Below are 16,452 nucleotides of genomic sequence, written 5' to 3' on the forward strand. Positions count from 1 at the left end.
ATATAATTTCCTTCAATTACTTACTCAAGAGTTTAGTCATTTTTATTATTAAGAAATCCCCTTTTATTTCTAGGTGCTCAAATTGCAATTTATGACATTAAGAAATCCCATTCTGTTCTGTGGAAGATAGATAATGTTTTGTCAGTGCTCTAAGATATAAATAGCTTCTCAGGCATCTTTTCTATTTGACTAAATAATCCCAGGCCTTTCATCTTTCCTTTAAATATTTTCTCATATTTAGATGCATTGTCTAGGTCTCCTGTAATTTGCTACATCATGAGTCAGTTGGATAATCTAGTAGGGTGCTATCATGCTCAATAAAGTATGTGCTTTACTGAGTTCTTTTCGTGAATCCTTCTTTTAAGACAGTATCATGTTCTGTTATTATAAAAAGAACAAGACAAACCCACTATTGATTTACTAGTATCTTTAACGTGTGTTCCATTATGAGCTCAAGCCCATTTATTGGCATTTATGTCTAGATCTTTATTTCTCTTATTCTATCAGTAGACAGTATTTTAATTTCAGGGTACATGTTAATATTTCCTTCAAAATTTTTGATTAAAATCTTTTGTTTTACATATATCTCTAATTTGCTTAAAAAAAACAATATTCTTCTTATATTTTTAAGTGTTAATACTTTTGTCCTATTTGTTATACCAGGGTTGAAAATTTTCCCAATTCCTCTTTGTCACTGATAGGGGATACTGAACAACACTGGGGACCTAAAATTCATCCCAATGTGGTAGATTTCAAGCAGATTGACACTAAGCTGTTCGCCTGCACTTTTGGGGATATTACTCTCCATCAAATTATGCTCCTAGGATTGCATGAGACTTTTTATGTTTGCAACCTTCGCACTTTAATGGACACTGGAGTGTAAGCAAGACTGTAAATCTGTCTACAGGACTAAATTCCAGCTCATACGAACCTCAGTTGTTTCCATTTCTTGTATGCTCAATGTAGAATGCAGTGATGGTAAAACATCCAATCTTTGCCAGGACTTTTTGTGTTTGGCATATACATTGTGATGGACACAGCAAGGGTAATGAAATGCAAGTAATTCTGTGCTGCCAAAATGCTTTTGTTGGAAATTTTTTCTGTTTGGAAGATGCCTGGCCTAGCGAGTTGAAGGAAATCTAACCCAGCATTCAGAAGAACAGAAACTACACTCTGATGTCTGGAAGAAAGTGACTCCTGAATAATGGGATTACAGGCCAGTGATGTTAATTGCTGTGCAGTCATTAGGATAACTAGACTTTTTGAAAGATTGGTCTTGTATGTGCTCAGAGGGAGGAGCTAACATACCTTAGTGTTATGCAGGGAGACGAGATCACCTAATAATTTCCTGGGTTACCTACTTAGTTAGTTATCTACTAAACTCCTGGGTAATTGGTGTTGGTGGAGAATGGGCAGAGTCTGTATAGGTCAGGGCACCTACCAGGATCCTGCATGAAAAACAGCCATTTTCTAGTTGGCTTCCTAGAGGTCATGCTCACATTTGACTTCCATGAATTTCTTACACTTGATAAGTCTTATACAATGTCAGACAATTACTTAATGTCACCTCACTTAATCCTCACGATCCCCCTGCTATGTAGGTTACTGTCTTTGCATTTGCAGATAAGAAGACAAAACTGCCTGAGGTTACATCTTGCCCAAGCCTTCAGAGTAGAGGAATCATGATTTGGATGGGGTTTATTCTCATTGCATTATGCCTCATTATTTCACTTTAAGCAAAGAGCCAATGGATGATATAAACAATTCAGTTAATTTTCTAATTAATTTTGTAATTAGTAGAAACATTTATGTAAATTTTCTGTAACATTGTGTATTTATCTACTCTCATCTTGTAAAAGCTTCTTCTGATCTTAATTCACATATAATTATGATTTTTATGCAGTTATAATCATAACAAATGCACAATTTCAGGTTCAATCACTCTCATGTAACATTTTATTCACATTTTTCTATGTTGTATAGCTTTTATAGTTATAATTTTAGTAACTATACAATAATGCACTCGGTAAATATTCAATCATAAAAGAAATGTAGCAGTGAAAATTAAGGCAGTACAAATATACCTCACTTTAGGAAAACCAGAATTATGGACAAGCAAAAAATGCAAAACAGGCTGAATATTTTCTTAACAAAAGGATTCAATATAGAATTCCTTTAAATAGTGTGCTCCTCTGGATCCCTGGGGAAATTCAGGTTTTCAAAATATGTGAAGGTCTCCCTAAGGCTGGATAATTTCTGAGATCCTTTCTAGCACCACCATGATTAATGCATTGGTTGTGTAAAACGAGGATACCGATATATTCTAGGTGTTATTCAGTTACAGAAACCTACAGAAATGAAGGATGTGTTTACTTCTTAGGCCTTGGTGGTTCAATAAAAACTCAGAAGAGTTTTTCTCTCACTCATTCCCACGGTGCCCGAATCCAGGCATTTCTAGAATTGTAGTGTCCTCAGGATGTCAGGGACAGTGTGCGGTCATCTATTCTAGTCTATCCTCTTGCCTCCAGTCGGAGCCACACCCAAAACCAGCCCAGACAGATGAGACTCTGTCCTATTTTTAACAAGATCCAGGGACGGGAGCATTCCTCATTTCCTCAATAACCCCATTTCAAAACCTGTATTCACACTTCCTGTTTAATTTTCATGCCATTAACAGACACTCTCCATGTACTTCTTAAAACTTTATATCTAATATAGGATACATTTTTCATGAACTTAAAATTAAGGAAATAATAAATAGGGCTCACATAGAAAACAATATGCATTTTAGATTGTCTGTGACTTTAGATGTATCAGTATAATGTCATATTATCTTATAACAGGATATACAGTAGCCAATATTATTTACTAAAAATCCCAAATTTTATAAACTGTAAATACATATCTTAAATATCTGGAGACATTTGACTGGGAATATGATTATATTTAAGAGAGAAGATAACAATATGCCCTCACTTACAAGCCCCCCACCCGCCAATGATTTTATTCTTGCTTAGTGAGATTAGATAATATTTAAGTGAGATTTTATTTAAGAAACGCAAGAATGAAAAAACTATAGTTTTATTTTTATTCAATGAGGTTCGAAAAAATCACTATTTACCATACTGCTGATGTTCTGCTAATTGCCTCCCATCAACTTTTATTTTAGTTCTTTTAAACACTAGGAAGCTGAAAATTTTAAGGAGGCTTTTTAAAAGGACAAAGATTAGTAGAGGATAGAACTGGTGACTTTGATTCAGACCTGATGAGCATCCTTACTTTCATGTTTTCTACACAGCCCTTGCCTCAAATCAAAAGCTTGTTCTGGATTGCACGGGAATCTTTCTTAGTAGGTGAGATGTGCTTTCCTAAAGCATCATGAGTTAATTGCTTTCGTTTGGGCTACTTTATTTTATAAAGGTATCCTACAAAAACAGATTGATTATTTGACTCTGATAACATTCTGACAGGCCTGCTTGCTTCATTTTCTGTTTTTGTTTTTGTTTTTTTTTTTTAAGGAAAATTTCTGTTGTGAAGAATGTAAACAACAGTGTAAACACTCCCCTTGTTTCAGTCTCCTCTTGTCTGTTTTGTTTTTTTCTTTTTCTCCGTTTGGCACTGAGACTGATATGCAGCCGCAAGCACTAGATAAGAATTGTCTATCAGATTTAGCCATTCTGCACATGATTAATTTTGTTATGGGCAAAACATAGTGTTTTCTAGGTTTCTCTGGCAGTCACTGTATCAGGTGATACTTGCCCTTAAATCATCTTAGTTTATGTGGAGTAAAGCATGTCAGGTTGAAACAATTGTTTTCTTCCATTCATGCTACAGTACCTCTTGGGCTTTCTAGGATCATATTTTCATTCTTATGAAAATGGTGGCTGGGCCTGGTGGCTTACGCGTGTAATCCCAGCACTTTGGAAGGCCGAGGCAGGCAGATCACAAGGTCGAGAGTCCAGCCTGGTCAACATGGTGAAACCCCGTCTCTACTAAGAATACAAAAATTAGCCAGGCATGGTGGCGCACACCTCTAGTCCCAGCTACTTGTGAGGCTGAGGCAGGAGAATCGCTTGAACCCAGGAGGCAGAGGTTGCAGTGAGCCCAGATGGTGCCACTGCACTCCAGCCTGGATGACAGACCAAGACTCCGTCTTGGAAAAAAAAAAAAAAAAGAAAAGAAAAGAAAATGGTTAATATCACTTTGACAGATTATCTTGATCCTTTTCTGTGACTTATAAAACCCCTATGACAAAGACATGACTTTATTTTTCATGTTATAACTAATTTTGAGGCAAGTTAAACTAGTGAAAAAGAGAAGAAGAAGATCGTGTGAAACAGATAACGAAATAAAACAACCACAAAGCAGAAAGATGTCTTTCCTGTCAGGCTCTGGTAAAAAGATATAAACTCCTCAAGGGCAATACAATTTTGTATTTTACCAGTTTTCAGTGGCTGTATGATCAACAAATATTACTGAGTGGCTAATAGGTCTGCACACTCAGAAAATTTAGTCAAAAATGTATTTCCTAATAATATGAAAGTATAGTGCAGTCTCTTTTTATTGTTTATACAGATAGATTTTTGAGAGAAAGTCTGGAGACAGACTTAGGTTTGAACTCTTGCTGTTTTTATGTGTTTACTGATTTAATTTTTCCAGCTTTATTGAGGTATAATTAACAAAAATTTCACATATTTAAGGTATGCAATGTGATTTTTGAAATACGGATATATTGTGCAATGATTACCACAATCATGCTAACATATCCATGGCCTTGCATACTTACCTTTGTGTTGTTATTGTTGAGCCCTTGCCTTTAATTGCTGTGTGACCCTGGACAAGTTACCTAACCTCGCAGTGCTTCAATTTCCTCATTATAAAATGGAGAGAACAACAATTGTTTCTTCTCAAAGGTTGTTGTATTTTATACATATGAAATATATAATTATATATATATATATGCATTGAGAAATGTGCCTGGTAAATAATGAGCACTATGTATGATAGCATATGTTAGCTATTATTGCTCATTTTAAAATGTAAGATATCATTGCCACTATTATTATAGTGATCTTGGGCATTAGCAAAAATTATGGTGTTTGAAAATGACAGCCAAGAGAATAGGAATTCTTCATAGAAATTCCAGACAGTAAAGGAACTCCTGGGTGGTGTGTAAACATGAATAAGAGGATTTACCCTTTACTGATCAAAATTACCACTATTTTGTGATTAACTGAATACTTTTTTTTTTTTTTTTTAAGAGACAGGGTCTTCCTATATTACCCAGGTTGGTCTCAAACTCCTGGGTTCAACTGATCCTCCCTCCTCAGCCTCCCGAAGTGCTGGGGCTATAGGCATGAGCCACCAGGCCTGGATGATTAACTGAATCTTAAAGTTCAGTTTAAATATCATGAAGATTCACAGAGGCAGTTATGACTTTTCTTGAGATGTACAGAGCTGGCCTGATCTTACCAAGCTTTCCGAGCTCAGGATGGGTGGGCATCGATCTTCCAAACTTCCTTTAGTTAAAGGAAACCTGCAATTTGCCTAAACTTCATACTTGTCATCTTCTCTGCTTGTCCTTTTGTGCTATCTCTAAGTTTCATCTGTGTTCTCCACATTTGGATAAGCACTTGCCAAGTTTCAAACTTCTTTGAATGATATAGAGCAATCCATAAAAATCACTAGGTCTTTTGTAAATTCTCCTTCTTCTTCATGCTATATGTAGGAATTGTTTAATTTCAAAAGCATCACAAGCAGATTAAAATATTTTCCCATTTTGAGTATTCATTAATTTATTAGACAACTATTTACTGAACATTCCTATGGGTTAAGCACTTGATACATAAAGATAAATCAACTCTGCTTCCTGTCCATGTGTCCAAACTTACGTTCCAGTAGTTTAGTGTTGATCCATTCCATAGTTGATCCTCATTATCATTTAGTCTACTTGCTAAAATTTTTTTGTAATTCCAAAGTCAATACTTGTGGCACTTTTGCAATCATTTTTAGATATGTGCAGAGTTGGTGAAAAATTTGAGTCCCTTGCTATGCACATTTCCAGTTGAGGCTGAACAAGGCGATACTCTGCCTTCTTGTTTCAGCCCTCATGTGGTCCTTTTGCAGTCTATTTATTGCCACTTTTTAATTAATTAATGTATTTATTTTTGCATGTTAGTGTTTTTGTTGGTGACTTCCCTGTTTTTAAAAACCCCAACTATAATGCTGAAGTGCTGCCTGGAGTTTCTAAAGACAAGGTTACTGTATTGTGCGGTATGGAGAAAATATATGTTGGGCAAACTTCATTCAAGCACGAGTTATAGTGCTGTTGGCTGCAAGCTCAATGTTAGGAAATCAGTAATACTATACATTCAGAAAAAGGAAGAGGAAATTCACCAGTCTATACATGAGACCTCTCTGGAAAGTGCTCACATAGCATCAATAGTGCATGATGAAGCTATGGGAAAAATGGAAAAATTGCTGAATTTGTGGATTCATGAGATGAATTATGATGCTGAAAACCAAAGATATTTATGGTCATGTTACCCAAGGTCAGGAAAGTGTTAAACCCCTCTAAGTTAGTGTTTTATTATAAAGAAATACTGCATATAATTATTTGTTAGAAATATATATTAAATATGGTGTCTTTAAACACACATAAAATAAAGTTATATATTGATCAGTTGACAAAAAACCTTGCGGCCGGAAGCTTGTGGGAACCTATCCCTGTATTTCCTCTAGGAGCAATGGCACAGTATTTGTTAATCCAATGTTTATAGTGACTTTATAGAATATAACTACTATGAATCACAAAAACTGACTGTACATTCTTTAATACTCTTATAGCTGTGATTCTCAATCAGGGTGATTTTGTATGCCAAGGGACATTTGGCAATGTTTACAGGCATTTTCATTGTCATGACTAGGTGGAGGGTGGGGGATCAGAAGATGGTGCTATTGGCATCTAGTGGGTAAAAGACAAGGATGCTGTTAAACTTCCTACAATGCACAGGACAGCTCCCCATAATAAAGAATTAACCTGTCAAAACTGTCAAAAGTGACTGGGTACAGTGGCTCACACCAGTAATCCCAGCACTTTGGGAGGCCAAGGTGGGTGGGCAGATCACCCAAGGTTAGGAGTTCAAGACTACCTGGGCCAACATGGTGAAACACTGTCTCTACTAAAAACACAAAAATTAGCTGGGCATGGTGGCTGGCACCTGTAGTCCCAGCTACTTGGGAGGCTGAGGTGAGAGAATCACTTGAACCCAGGAGGAGGAGGTTGCAGTGAGCCAAGATCTTGCCATTGCACTCCAGCCTGGGTGACAAGAGCAGAACTCCATCTAAAAAAAAAAAAAGAAAAAGAAACTGTCAAAAGTGGCCGGGTGTGGTGGCTCACACCAGTAATCCCAGAACTTTGGAAGGCTAAGGTGGGTGGGTTGCTCGAGCTCAGGAGTTCAAGACCAGTGTGGGCAACTTGGTGAAACCTCATCTCTCCAAAAAAAAAGTCAAAAGTGCCAAGGCTGAGAAATCCTGCTTTATACCAAGGTCTGCAAATTATTTCTATTAAGGGCCAGATGGTTAATATTTCCACCTTTGTGGGCCATGTGGTCTCCCTCACAGCTACTCAACTCTGCCACTGTAGCATGAAAGCAGCCACTGACAATATCCCAGCTGATGAATGGGTGCAGCTATTTTCCAATAAACTTTATAAAACTAATCAGCATGTTGGATCTGGGCCTGGGTTTTTGAATCCCTTCATAGCAGTGATTCTCAGTCTTTGGATGCTTGTTAGAAGAACCCAGCAGCTTTTAAGCAGTGGTATTTCCTGAACTCCACTCCTTAAAATTCTGATTGGATTGGTCTGGGATATGCCTCCAGGGTTGATATTGCCTAAGGGCTCTCCAGGGATTAGAAAGTACAACCAGCACTGAGAGCCACTGCTCTGAAGAGCTGCGGTTTGTGTATTTGAAGGTCGACTTGCACAGTAAACCCTTATCAGTAATCAGCAGACCCTTTTCTTGCAATCTGGCTTTTGTCCCATGCACTCTCCTGAAAGTCCCCAAATTAATGGCCTTTTTTTGTATTCATTCCTCTGAACCTCTGAGGTTCAGATTTAGAAACACTCCATGTTTCTTGAAACTCCTCACTCTCCTGATTCTCCTCCTGTGCTTCCAACTATTCCTCTATCTCTTCTTCCATCTCTTGAACCTTAAATATAGGTGCTCCCCTGAGAGCTGTTCTGAGACTCCTCTCTGACTAATTTTCCCTGGACTTTGTCATAGCTCTACCTGTCTATAAACAACATTCACACTGCTGTTGGCTTGATGTCTCCCACAAAGATTGGTTTAGTAGGTTACCTGGTGACTCGAGTCTTTCTTTTCTTTTTTTTTCCTTAAGACGGGGTCACACTCTGTCGCCCATACTGGAGTGCAGTGGTGCTGTCGTAGCTCACTGCAGCCTCTACCTCCAGGGCTCAAATGATCATTTCTCCTCAGCAAATTATTTTATTTTTATTTTTTGTAGAGATGGGGTTTCACCATTTTTCCCAAGCTGGTCTTGAACTCCTGTACTCAAGTGATCTGGCTGCTTCGGCCTCATAAAATGTTGGGATTACAGGCATGAACCACCACACCCAGCCTCTAGTCTTCGTTTGATATAGTTTTGGAAATTAGACATGAAAATTATTATTCATGAAACTAACCAAAAGTCTCCTTTTCCAAATATCAATTCCCACCTCATAGGAACTTTCATAGAACATTAAAAAAAAACTGTGATCCTTACTATGGAACCATCTTCACTGGAAAAAACTGCAGTAGTGTCATTTGGGGAATTTGTAGCTTACGTTATGCATCTAGACCTACCTCATGCTGAATAGAAAGTATATACAAATTTAAATAACACTTAATAAGTAGTATAAATGCTAATTTTGCATTTTATATCACCAGAACTGTCCTAGAGTTCAGAGTTATAATAATGAGGCACTTGCTCATTGGAAGATACGATCTATCTGGTAGACCTTGGCAGGAGATAAGAAGCACATACAAACTGTGTAACTGGCGAGAACTTTAAGAGGGTCTGTTTACCAAGGTGTGGGCGGGTGTATTTGTTTCCTAGGGCTGCAATAGCAAATTACCATAAACTTGGTGGCTTAAAACAAGAGAAAAGTATTCTCTCACTGTTCTGGAGTCCCGAAATCTAAAATTACGGTGTCAGCAGGGCTGCACTCCATCCAGAGGCTCTAGATAATTACCTTTCTTGCTTCTTCCAGCTTCTGGTAGCTGTTGGCAATCCTTGGCCTCCTTGGTTTGTGACCACATCACTCCAAGCTCTGCCCTTGTCTTTGTATCACTTACTCCTGTCCTTTCTCACTTTTGTATCACTTTCTCCTCGGTTTGTCTTCTTCTCTTTTGTCTGTGTCAAATCTCCCTTTGCCTTTCTCTTATAAGGACACTTGAGATTGGCCTTTCGGCCCACCTCAATAGTGAAAGATGATCTCCTCATCTCAAGAGCTTCAGCTTCATTACATCTACAGAGATCCTTTTTCTAAATAAGGTCATATTCATTCACAGGTTCTGTGAATGTGGACATGTCTTTTTTGGGGGCCACCATTCAATCCACGAGAGCAGGGTTGGGGGAAGCCAACAAGGAATGGCAAGGCCCTGTGAGGTCTGTCTTTACCACAACTAGGCCTGCAGCGGAAAGGGGAGGAAGCACACGATGGAACCTGGAGCCAATCACTATCACTGTAGGGTGGGGAGGGAGGTACCTGACAGCAGTGTGGCTTTCGAAAGAGAAATTCAATTAATGTGTGGGCTGCCATAAAGAGAGCCAGGAGAATAAAGATCCAGTTTCATCCTCCTCCTACCCTCCTATTTGTGCCTCCCATGAGTCAAGTCAAGATAAAAGAAAAAAAAAAAAAAAGAAGTTCAAATGAGGTTGCCTTCACAAGTGCAGCAATAGATTTAGTTCTTCCTATATGTAAAAAACAAATGAGAACTTTTTTTTTCCCTGTAATTTCAGACCATTACACACTGGTACTAGGAAGTACTAATTACCTCTGTGTTTTGGGAAAAGCACTATAAGCAGAGTATAAACCACCTTAGTCCTTTCCATACATAAGGATAATTCCATTACCATAAGCATTGTTACTATTATTTTACTCCCCTTATTTATATTCCTTCTCTCTACCAAAAGGAATTTAGGTGGCTCATGAAGAAGAGGTTATATTATTATAAGGATGATGAAACTGAAATAGAAAATCAAGACCATGGAAAGGAGGAGAGAGAAAAAATGTCAACCTGAAGGGCTGATATATTTGCTGTGATGGAGCATCAAATTCAGTTCTGCCCTCCTGGCAGCCGTCGTTATGATAACGTAGTTATGTCCACATTTCACTTGAACAGAGCTTCCCTTATCTAGTCACGAGAAACTCTGCAACACACAGTTCCACAAAGACTGTCTCCTCTCTGGTTCATGTAATAGTCACTTTCTATTATTAAAAATTACCAGATAATTTGCAGAGCTAATCACTTGTGAAAATAAAAACTTGTGGGTTGGGGAAAAAAGACTGTAGAGGAATATGGAAGGACTAGAAAGAAAAGAAATAATGAGGGAATGAAGAGGGAACATAGTTACAGTCAATGAAGCTCTTCTAATCATTTATTATTTAGACATTTTCTCACCCCTCCTTTTATATTTTTGTGTTATCGAGGGATAATTTATGTACAATGAAATTCACACATTTAAAGTGAATTGTTGATTATTTTTGACAAATGTTTATAGCTGTGAAACTAGCCTCGCAATCACGATACAGAACATTTCATCACCAGCCAAGATGCCCTCATACCCGTTACACCTAAATCTTTCCCTCCACTGCGGGCTGCTAGCAACAGCTGATCTGCTTCTTATCAATATAGTTTTGGCTTTTCTAGAATTTCACATATATAATATTTTATGCCTGACTTCTTTTACTTAGCATAATGCTTTTGAGATTCATCCATGTTGTTGCCAGATATCATAATTCATTCTCTTTTTATTGTTGACTAGTTAACCACTTTTTGAAAATATCACAGGTTATTTATGTGTTCACCAATTAATGGACAATTGAGTTGTTTCCAGTTTTTGGCAATTATGAATAAAACTGTTATGAATATCTGAGTACAAGTCTTTGTGTGAGCATACATTTTCATTTTCCTTGGGTAAATGCCTAAGTGGGATTAGTTATATGGTATATGTATATTTAACTTTATAAGAAACTGCCAAATTGTTTTAAAATTAGCTGTACAATTTTACATTCCCACCAGCAATGTATACTATTGTTTTGCATATTTGTCAACAGTTAGTATTTTGAGTCTTCTTTATTTGGGCCATTCAAGTGTGTGTGCGTAGGTGGTATTTTTTAAGTTTGCAGTTTCCTAATGGTTAATGATCGATATGGTTTGGCTGTGTCACGCAAAATCTCATCTTGAATTGCAATCCCTGTAATCCCCATAATCCCCACGTGTAAAGGGAGAGACCAGGTGGAGGTAATGGAATCATGGGGCCAAGTTTTCCCTATGCTGTTCTCGTGATTGTGAGTGAGTTCTCACGAGATGTGATTGTTTTATAAGTGTTTGATAGGTCCTCCTGTGTTCATTCTCGTTCTTGCTGCCTTGTGAGTGAGGTGTCTTGCTTCTCCTTCCACCATGATTGTAAGTTTCCTGAGGCCTCCTCGGCCACGCGGAACTGTAAGTCAATTAAACCTCTCTTCTTTCTAAATTACCCAGTCTTATAGCAGTATGAAAATGGACTGATAATATGATGATGTTAAGCATTTTTTTTTTAGTATTTGTTTACCCCTCTTTGGTAAACTGTGTGTTTAAATCTTTTGTTCATTTTAAAAATTGGGCTTTGTGTCTTATTAAATCCTAAAAAGTTCTCTTTGTTTTAAAATAGCCTCATTTAGACAAATCCATAAGCAAATGTGTTTTGCAAATTTTTTTCTTATGAAAAATATTACTTATACCATACAGCTATTGTAAGAAATTAGGTTAGCTATATGCAAAACTTCTGATACCTAGCAGCTACTTAGGAAATGCAAATTCTCTTCCCACACCTTTTCCCTTCACCAATAGATTCAAGTACTCTAGAAAAGTTAAGGATTGTGCAAGCAAGAAAAAGTTTTTGGGTGAGGACATTTTGGAGAGAATAATTTCAGGACACAGGTGAGGTTATAAGGGAAATTGCAAAGGATTAGAGAGGAATGGTAACGATTGAATCAAGAAGCACAGATGATTCAGATATTTGGGAGATGAGGGAAGAAGAAAGAAGGCAGTAGCATAAGTGTGAAGCAGCACAGTGTAGTGGTTAAGCACAGGAGTTTGCAGCCAGGTTTCTTGGCTTTGAAGCCCAGCTCTGCTGCCTGCAAGCCATGTTGAGTGTGGGCAGTCATTTAACCTGTGTGTGAAAATGCAGGGAAGAGAGCAGCTTGGGGGGTTGGGGAAAGCTTAGATTTGCATTTGCTAAAGAATATCAAGTACAGGGACCACAGAAATTCTGCAGGATATGTCAACTCAGATGATGATTTCTCTTTTCAATTAAGTGTGATGTTAAAGCATCTGCCCAGAAAGAGGAAAATCAACGGCAGCTTGAAGCTTAGGGGAAGTGAAGAAAATGAGGGATAGCAGTTGTTGAGACTTAGTGACTTGGCAAGAAAGGCATTAAAAGATCACTAATAGTCGAGAAGGAATCAGGTGAGCTTGGAGGGCATGAATAAAAAATGGCTTCCATCAACAGATTTTTGTGACTCACTCCAAATGACATTTATCAACCAGGAAGCAGGAGAGGGAGAAAACAGAACACAACCTACAGAGGGAAGAGATAGTGGTTGGCAAGACAGCAAATTTATAAAGGATTCTAGACGAGCACATTGTCAAAATGGTCAACTGTTTAACATATATCAAGACGATGGAATAGCAAGACACTAAGGAAGAAAGTGTTCATGAGCATGTTCTATTTCTGTAAGTAGAAAAAAGAAAGGATCAGGTAGGCACGGTGGCTCATGCCTGTAATCCCAGCACTTTGGGAGGCCGAGACAGGTGGATCACCTGAGGCTGGGAGTTCCAGGCCAGCCTGACCAACATGGAGAAAACCCATCTCTACTAAAACTACAAAATTAGCTGGGTGTGGTGGCAGCACATGGCTGTAATCCCACCTACTCAGGAGGCTGAGGCAGGAGAATCGCTTGAACCTGGGAGGCAGAGGTTGTGGTTAGCCAAGATCGTGCCATCGCACCCCAGCCTGGGCAACAAGAGTGAAAATCTGTCTTAAAAAAACAACAAAAAAAAAAAAAAGAAAGAAAGGATCATTTTTTTAAGTGGCAAATTTTAAATGGCAGCTCAAATGAACCAGAAAGTAAGATGGAAAGGAAAGCTGAAAAGGTAGTGGCTCACATACTTCAAGTTTGTTGATAACCCAATGTGGATGAAGTTGAACTGATGCATGGCGAGATATCCGATGGGAGGCTCTCTGATTATGGGGAATTTTAGAGTGGAGAGTTTCGAGGGAGAGAACTTTGGAGGTTGAGGCACATTAACTCATAAGTATTAGAGTTAGAGATGGAAGAAATAGCAAACTGGTTGATTAAAGGACTATCGGGTCAGTGTCAGGGAGTGTAATGCTGGGGGGTGGAAAGTGAAGATGCTCACACACACTGCGGAAGACAGTAGTCCCCATGGGACTAAGAGGCAGGTTTTAGAGATCAGTAGATTGTTGCAGAGATTTCTCAAGTATATTGTCTTGCCAACTAATCCTGAAAACAGGTGGTAGGTCTGGGTCCAGCTGAAGATTTGCTTGACCTTGTCTTACACCTAATGCTAAGCGAGTTTTTGTATTACCTTCTGTGATTGATGTCATCTCAGTATTCACAGCACACCCACACTGTGCTCCAGAAAACATGAAACTAACAAAGCCCAGCTCTCAGCATCTTCCTCCTCACTCTCAGACATAACAAGCCTGCTGGGACAATTCCAATGAGCTGCCTTTGCCTGGGACAGAAACGTAGGGCTGGAGAGGGTGGAAAACAAAATGATCTTCCTACCTGCTTCCTGTGGGGCCATTTTAAGCGGGTGGGAGAGTGGGAGGGAGAGCTTATCTATATTTCAGTGCTGGTTAAAAAACATACCTTGGCTTTTGATTCAAGGTACTAATTTATGTAGTTTACATATTTGCACTCTGAGCCCCACGGTTCTTAACCACAAGTACACAGGCGTGTAAAAGGCCATTTAAGATGAGTCACTGAAATCTCGAGGGGCGTTTGTTCTCCCTCCTGCCTCTTCCACTTCTAGCGTGTTAGGTGAAGTTGTATTTGGAGGAGGCCCACAGGAAGAGCTAAGCAACAGCTTCAGAATTCAGCTGGAGCTTATGGTACATCATGTACCTCAATGGAAAAAAAAATTAAACTTGCCAGTGTCTACGTTAAAAGTTTTTGACATTTATTTAAACAAGGTCAGTTTCTTCTTTCTCTATGAAAATAGGCAAAATATTGCCACCTAAATGTCTTCATTTCAAGTAATTTGCAACACATACACAAATCACTGAGGGGCTAAGGTGACATTATTGATAATTCAAGTTTCAAAAAGGGATTCTGAGAAATTGCTTTACTGCTATGTGTTCCAGACTGACTGCCTCCATTAAGTACGTTCATTAGATAATCGCCTGACTTTTCCACTTTCCTTTTCTGGTGAAGCCACATGTAACATGTCCAAAATGTCTAGGGGAAATCATGGAAATCATGGAACTTGTGCACATGCATACAGCATTGCTTTTCAAAAAGGACAGAATATGTTCAAGAACTATTTATATTCTGGGCAAGCTTTGAATTTGTATATATTATGTGCACAGAAGATAATTTGTTATCATGTTGTACACCAAATTAAATGACCCTTTGATACTGAGGTCATGCCCATTCATATTAGTAGGAGTTAAAGACACCAAGAGGACCAAAAACTGATGCCAAGAATGCATGGAATGGTTTCCATGGAGCATAATGGCACAATTGTCTTATGGAACAAAATTGAAAAGAACTGGAGAACAGGAAAAGGGCGTGGTGTCTGCAAAAATGAAAAACTTTATTCATGGATTCAAATTTATGCTTAAAATGAATTGAATGTGATACACCATTCTTAGTTTTCAGACAAACGTTAGAAACTAGCTAAATAGTGATGGAACTTTTAGAGTAGTCTGGCAAATTTTTCTGGAAATTACTTTCCCTCAACCTCAAGTATTATCACCAGTTCTTTTTCACTCTTCCTGAGAGGATGAAAGAACATCTTCTAATTTTGGTAGAGACAGTGTCTTACTCTGTCACCAAGGCTAGAGTACAGTGGCATGCAATCATAGCTCACTGTAACCTTGAACTCATAGGCTCAAACAATTCTACTTCAGCCTCCTGCATAGCTAGGACTGTAGGAGCACACCACTATGTCTCTCTAATTTTTTATTTTTAGAGACGGGGTCTCGCTACATTGCCCAGGCTAGTCTTGAACTCCTGGCCTCAAGTAATCCTCCTGCCTTGCCCTCCCAAAACGCTGGGATTACAGGTATGAGTCACCACACGCAACGTACTTTTATTTTTTAACTAATGCTTTTGAACAGGTTCCTTTCAAACTCCTTCTCAGGACTTCATGCCACCGATCTTCACATTGCCTTATAAACCTGCCATTTCTCCCTACACATCTTGACGGGCTTGTTAGTAGAGTCCATTACCATGAAGAAACCAATCTGACCAAAAGATTGTTAAATTTTTGCCCAAGAGATATCCAAACAATTTGTTTTATCTTCCTATTTAACTGTTGGTTACATTTTGTTGTATTCTATAACCATAATTAAACCTTCCTATGATTGTCTACAGCTTTGTGAATGCTGAAAACCAATACATTGCTTTAACATTCTTGTATGTAAATATTGGTCACTCAGAGGCTTCCTGATAGTACAATTTGGTGCCATTCTTAGGACCATTACTTGTGTTAAATTCAAATTAAGGTACCTTTCTTATGCCACCAATTGCTTAAAATCATTCCACAGTTTAGTTTGTTTCATAATTTCTAGTCTAGATTGTTTGTTATGGTGCTTTCCCCACTATGTATCTAACTAGTTCCTTTCATACTCTTCTTATAACTTGGAATCTATTTTATTGTTCCCTAAAGCTCCTGACTTTGTTTGAATTTGACAACTTTGGTCATTCGTGGACTAATACTTTCATAGTTACCCCTCTCCCAACTTTTCCCACAGATCTCCTCCTCGGAATCCTTGTACCTTACTAGTGTTATAATTTGGACTGATTACTTTCTAGGTTTTATGTCATTCTATGGCTCCCTTTTACTGTGCTCCTGGATTGGATGGATGTACTGTTTCTTGGATCCTACATTTTTTTCTTTGATTACTTTGCTCCTTTGTTTTGCTGTAGTACAT

General features: G+C 38.3%; 1 annotated feature.

The window, feature by feature from the left end:
- Positions 12,013–12,182: an enhancer, noted in NCBI's record as "experimental_54109 CRE fragment used in MPRA reporter constructs". NCBI's record gives its function as "activates a minimal promoter by MPRAs in K562 erythroleukemia cells, with activity observed for the introgressed 2:161371517 variant allele {active_cell/tissue: K562}" and the evidence as "EXISTENCE:reporter gene assay evidence [ECO:0000049][PMID:34662402]".

Source organism: Homo sapiens, chromosome 2 (assembly GCF_000001405.40).
Source record: "Homo sapiens chromosome 2, GRCh38.p14 Primary Assembly".
NCBI classification, from domain to species: domain Eukaryota; kingdom Metazoa; phylum Chordata; class Mammalia; order Primates; family Hominidae; genus Homo; species Homo sapiens.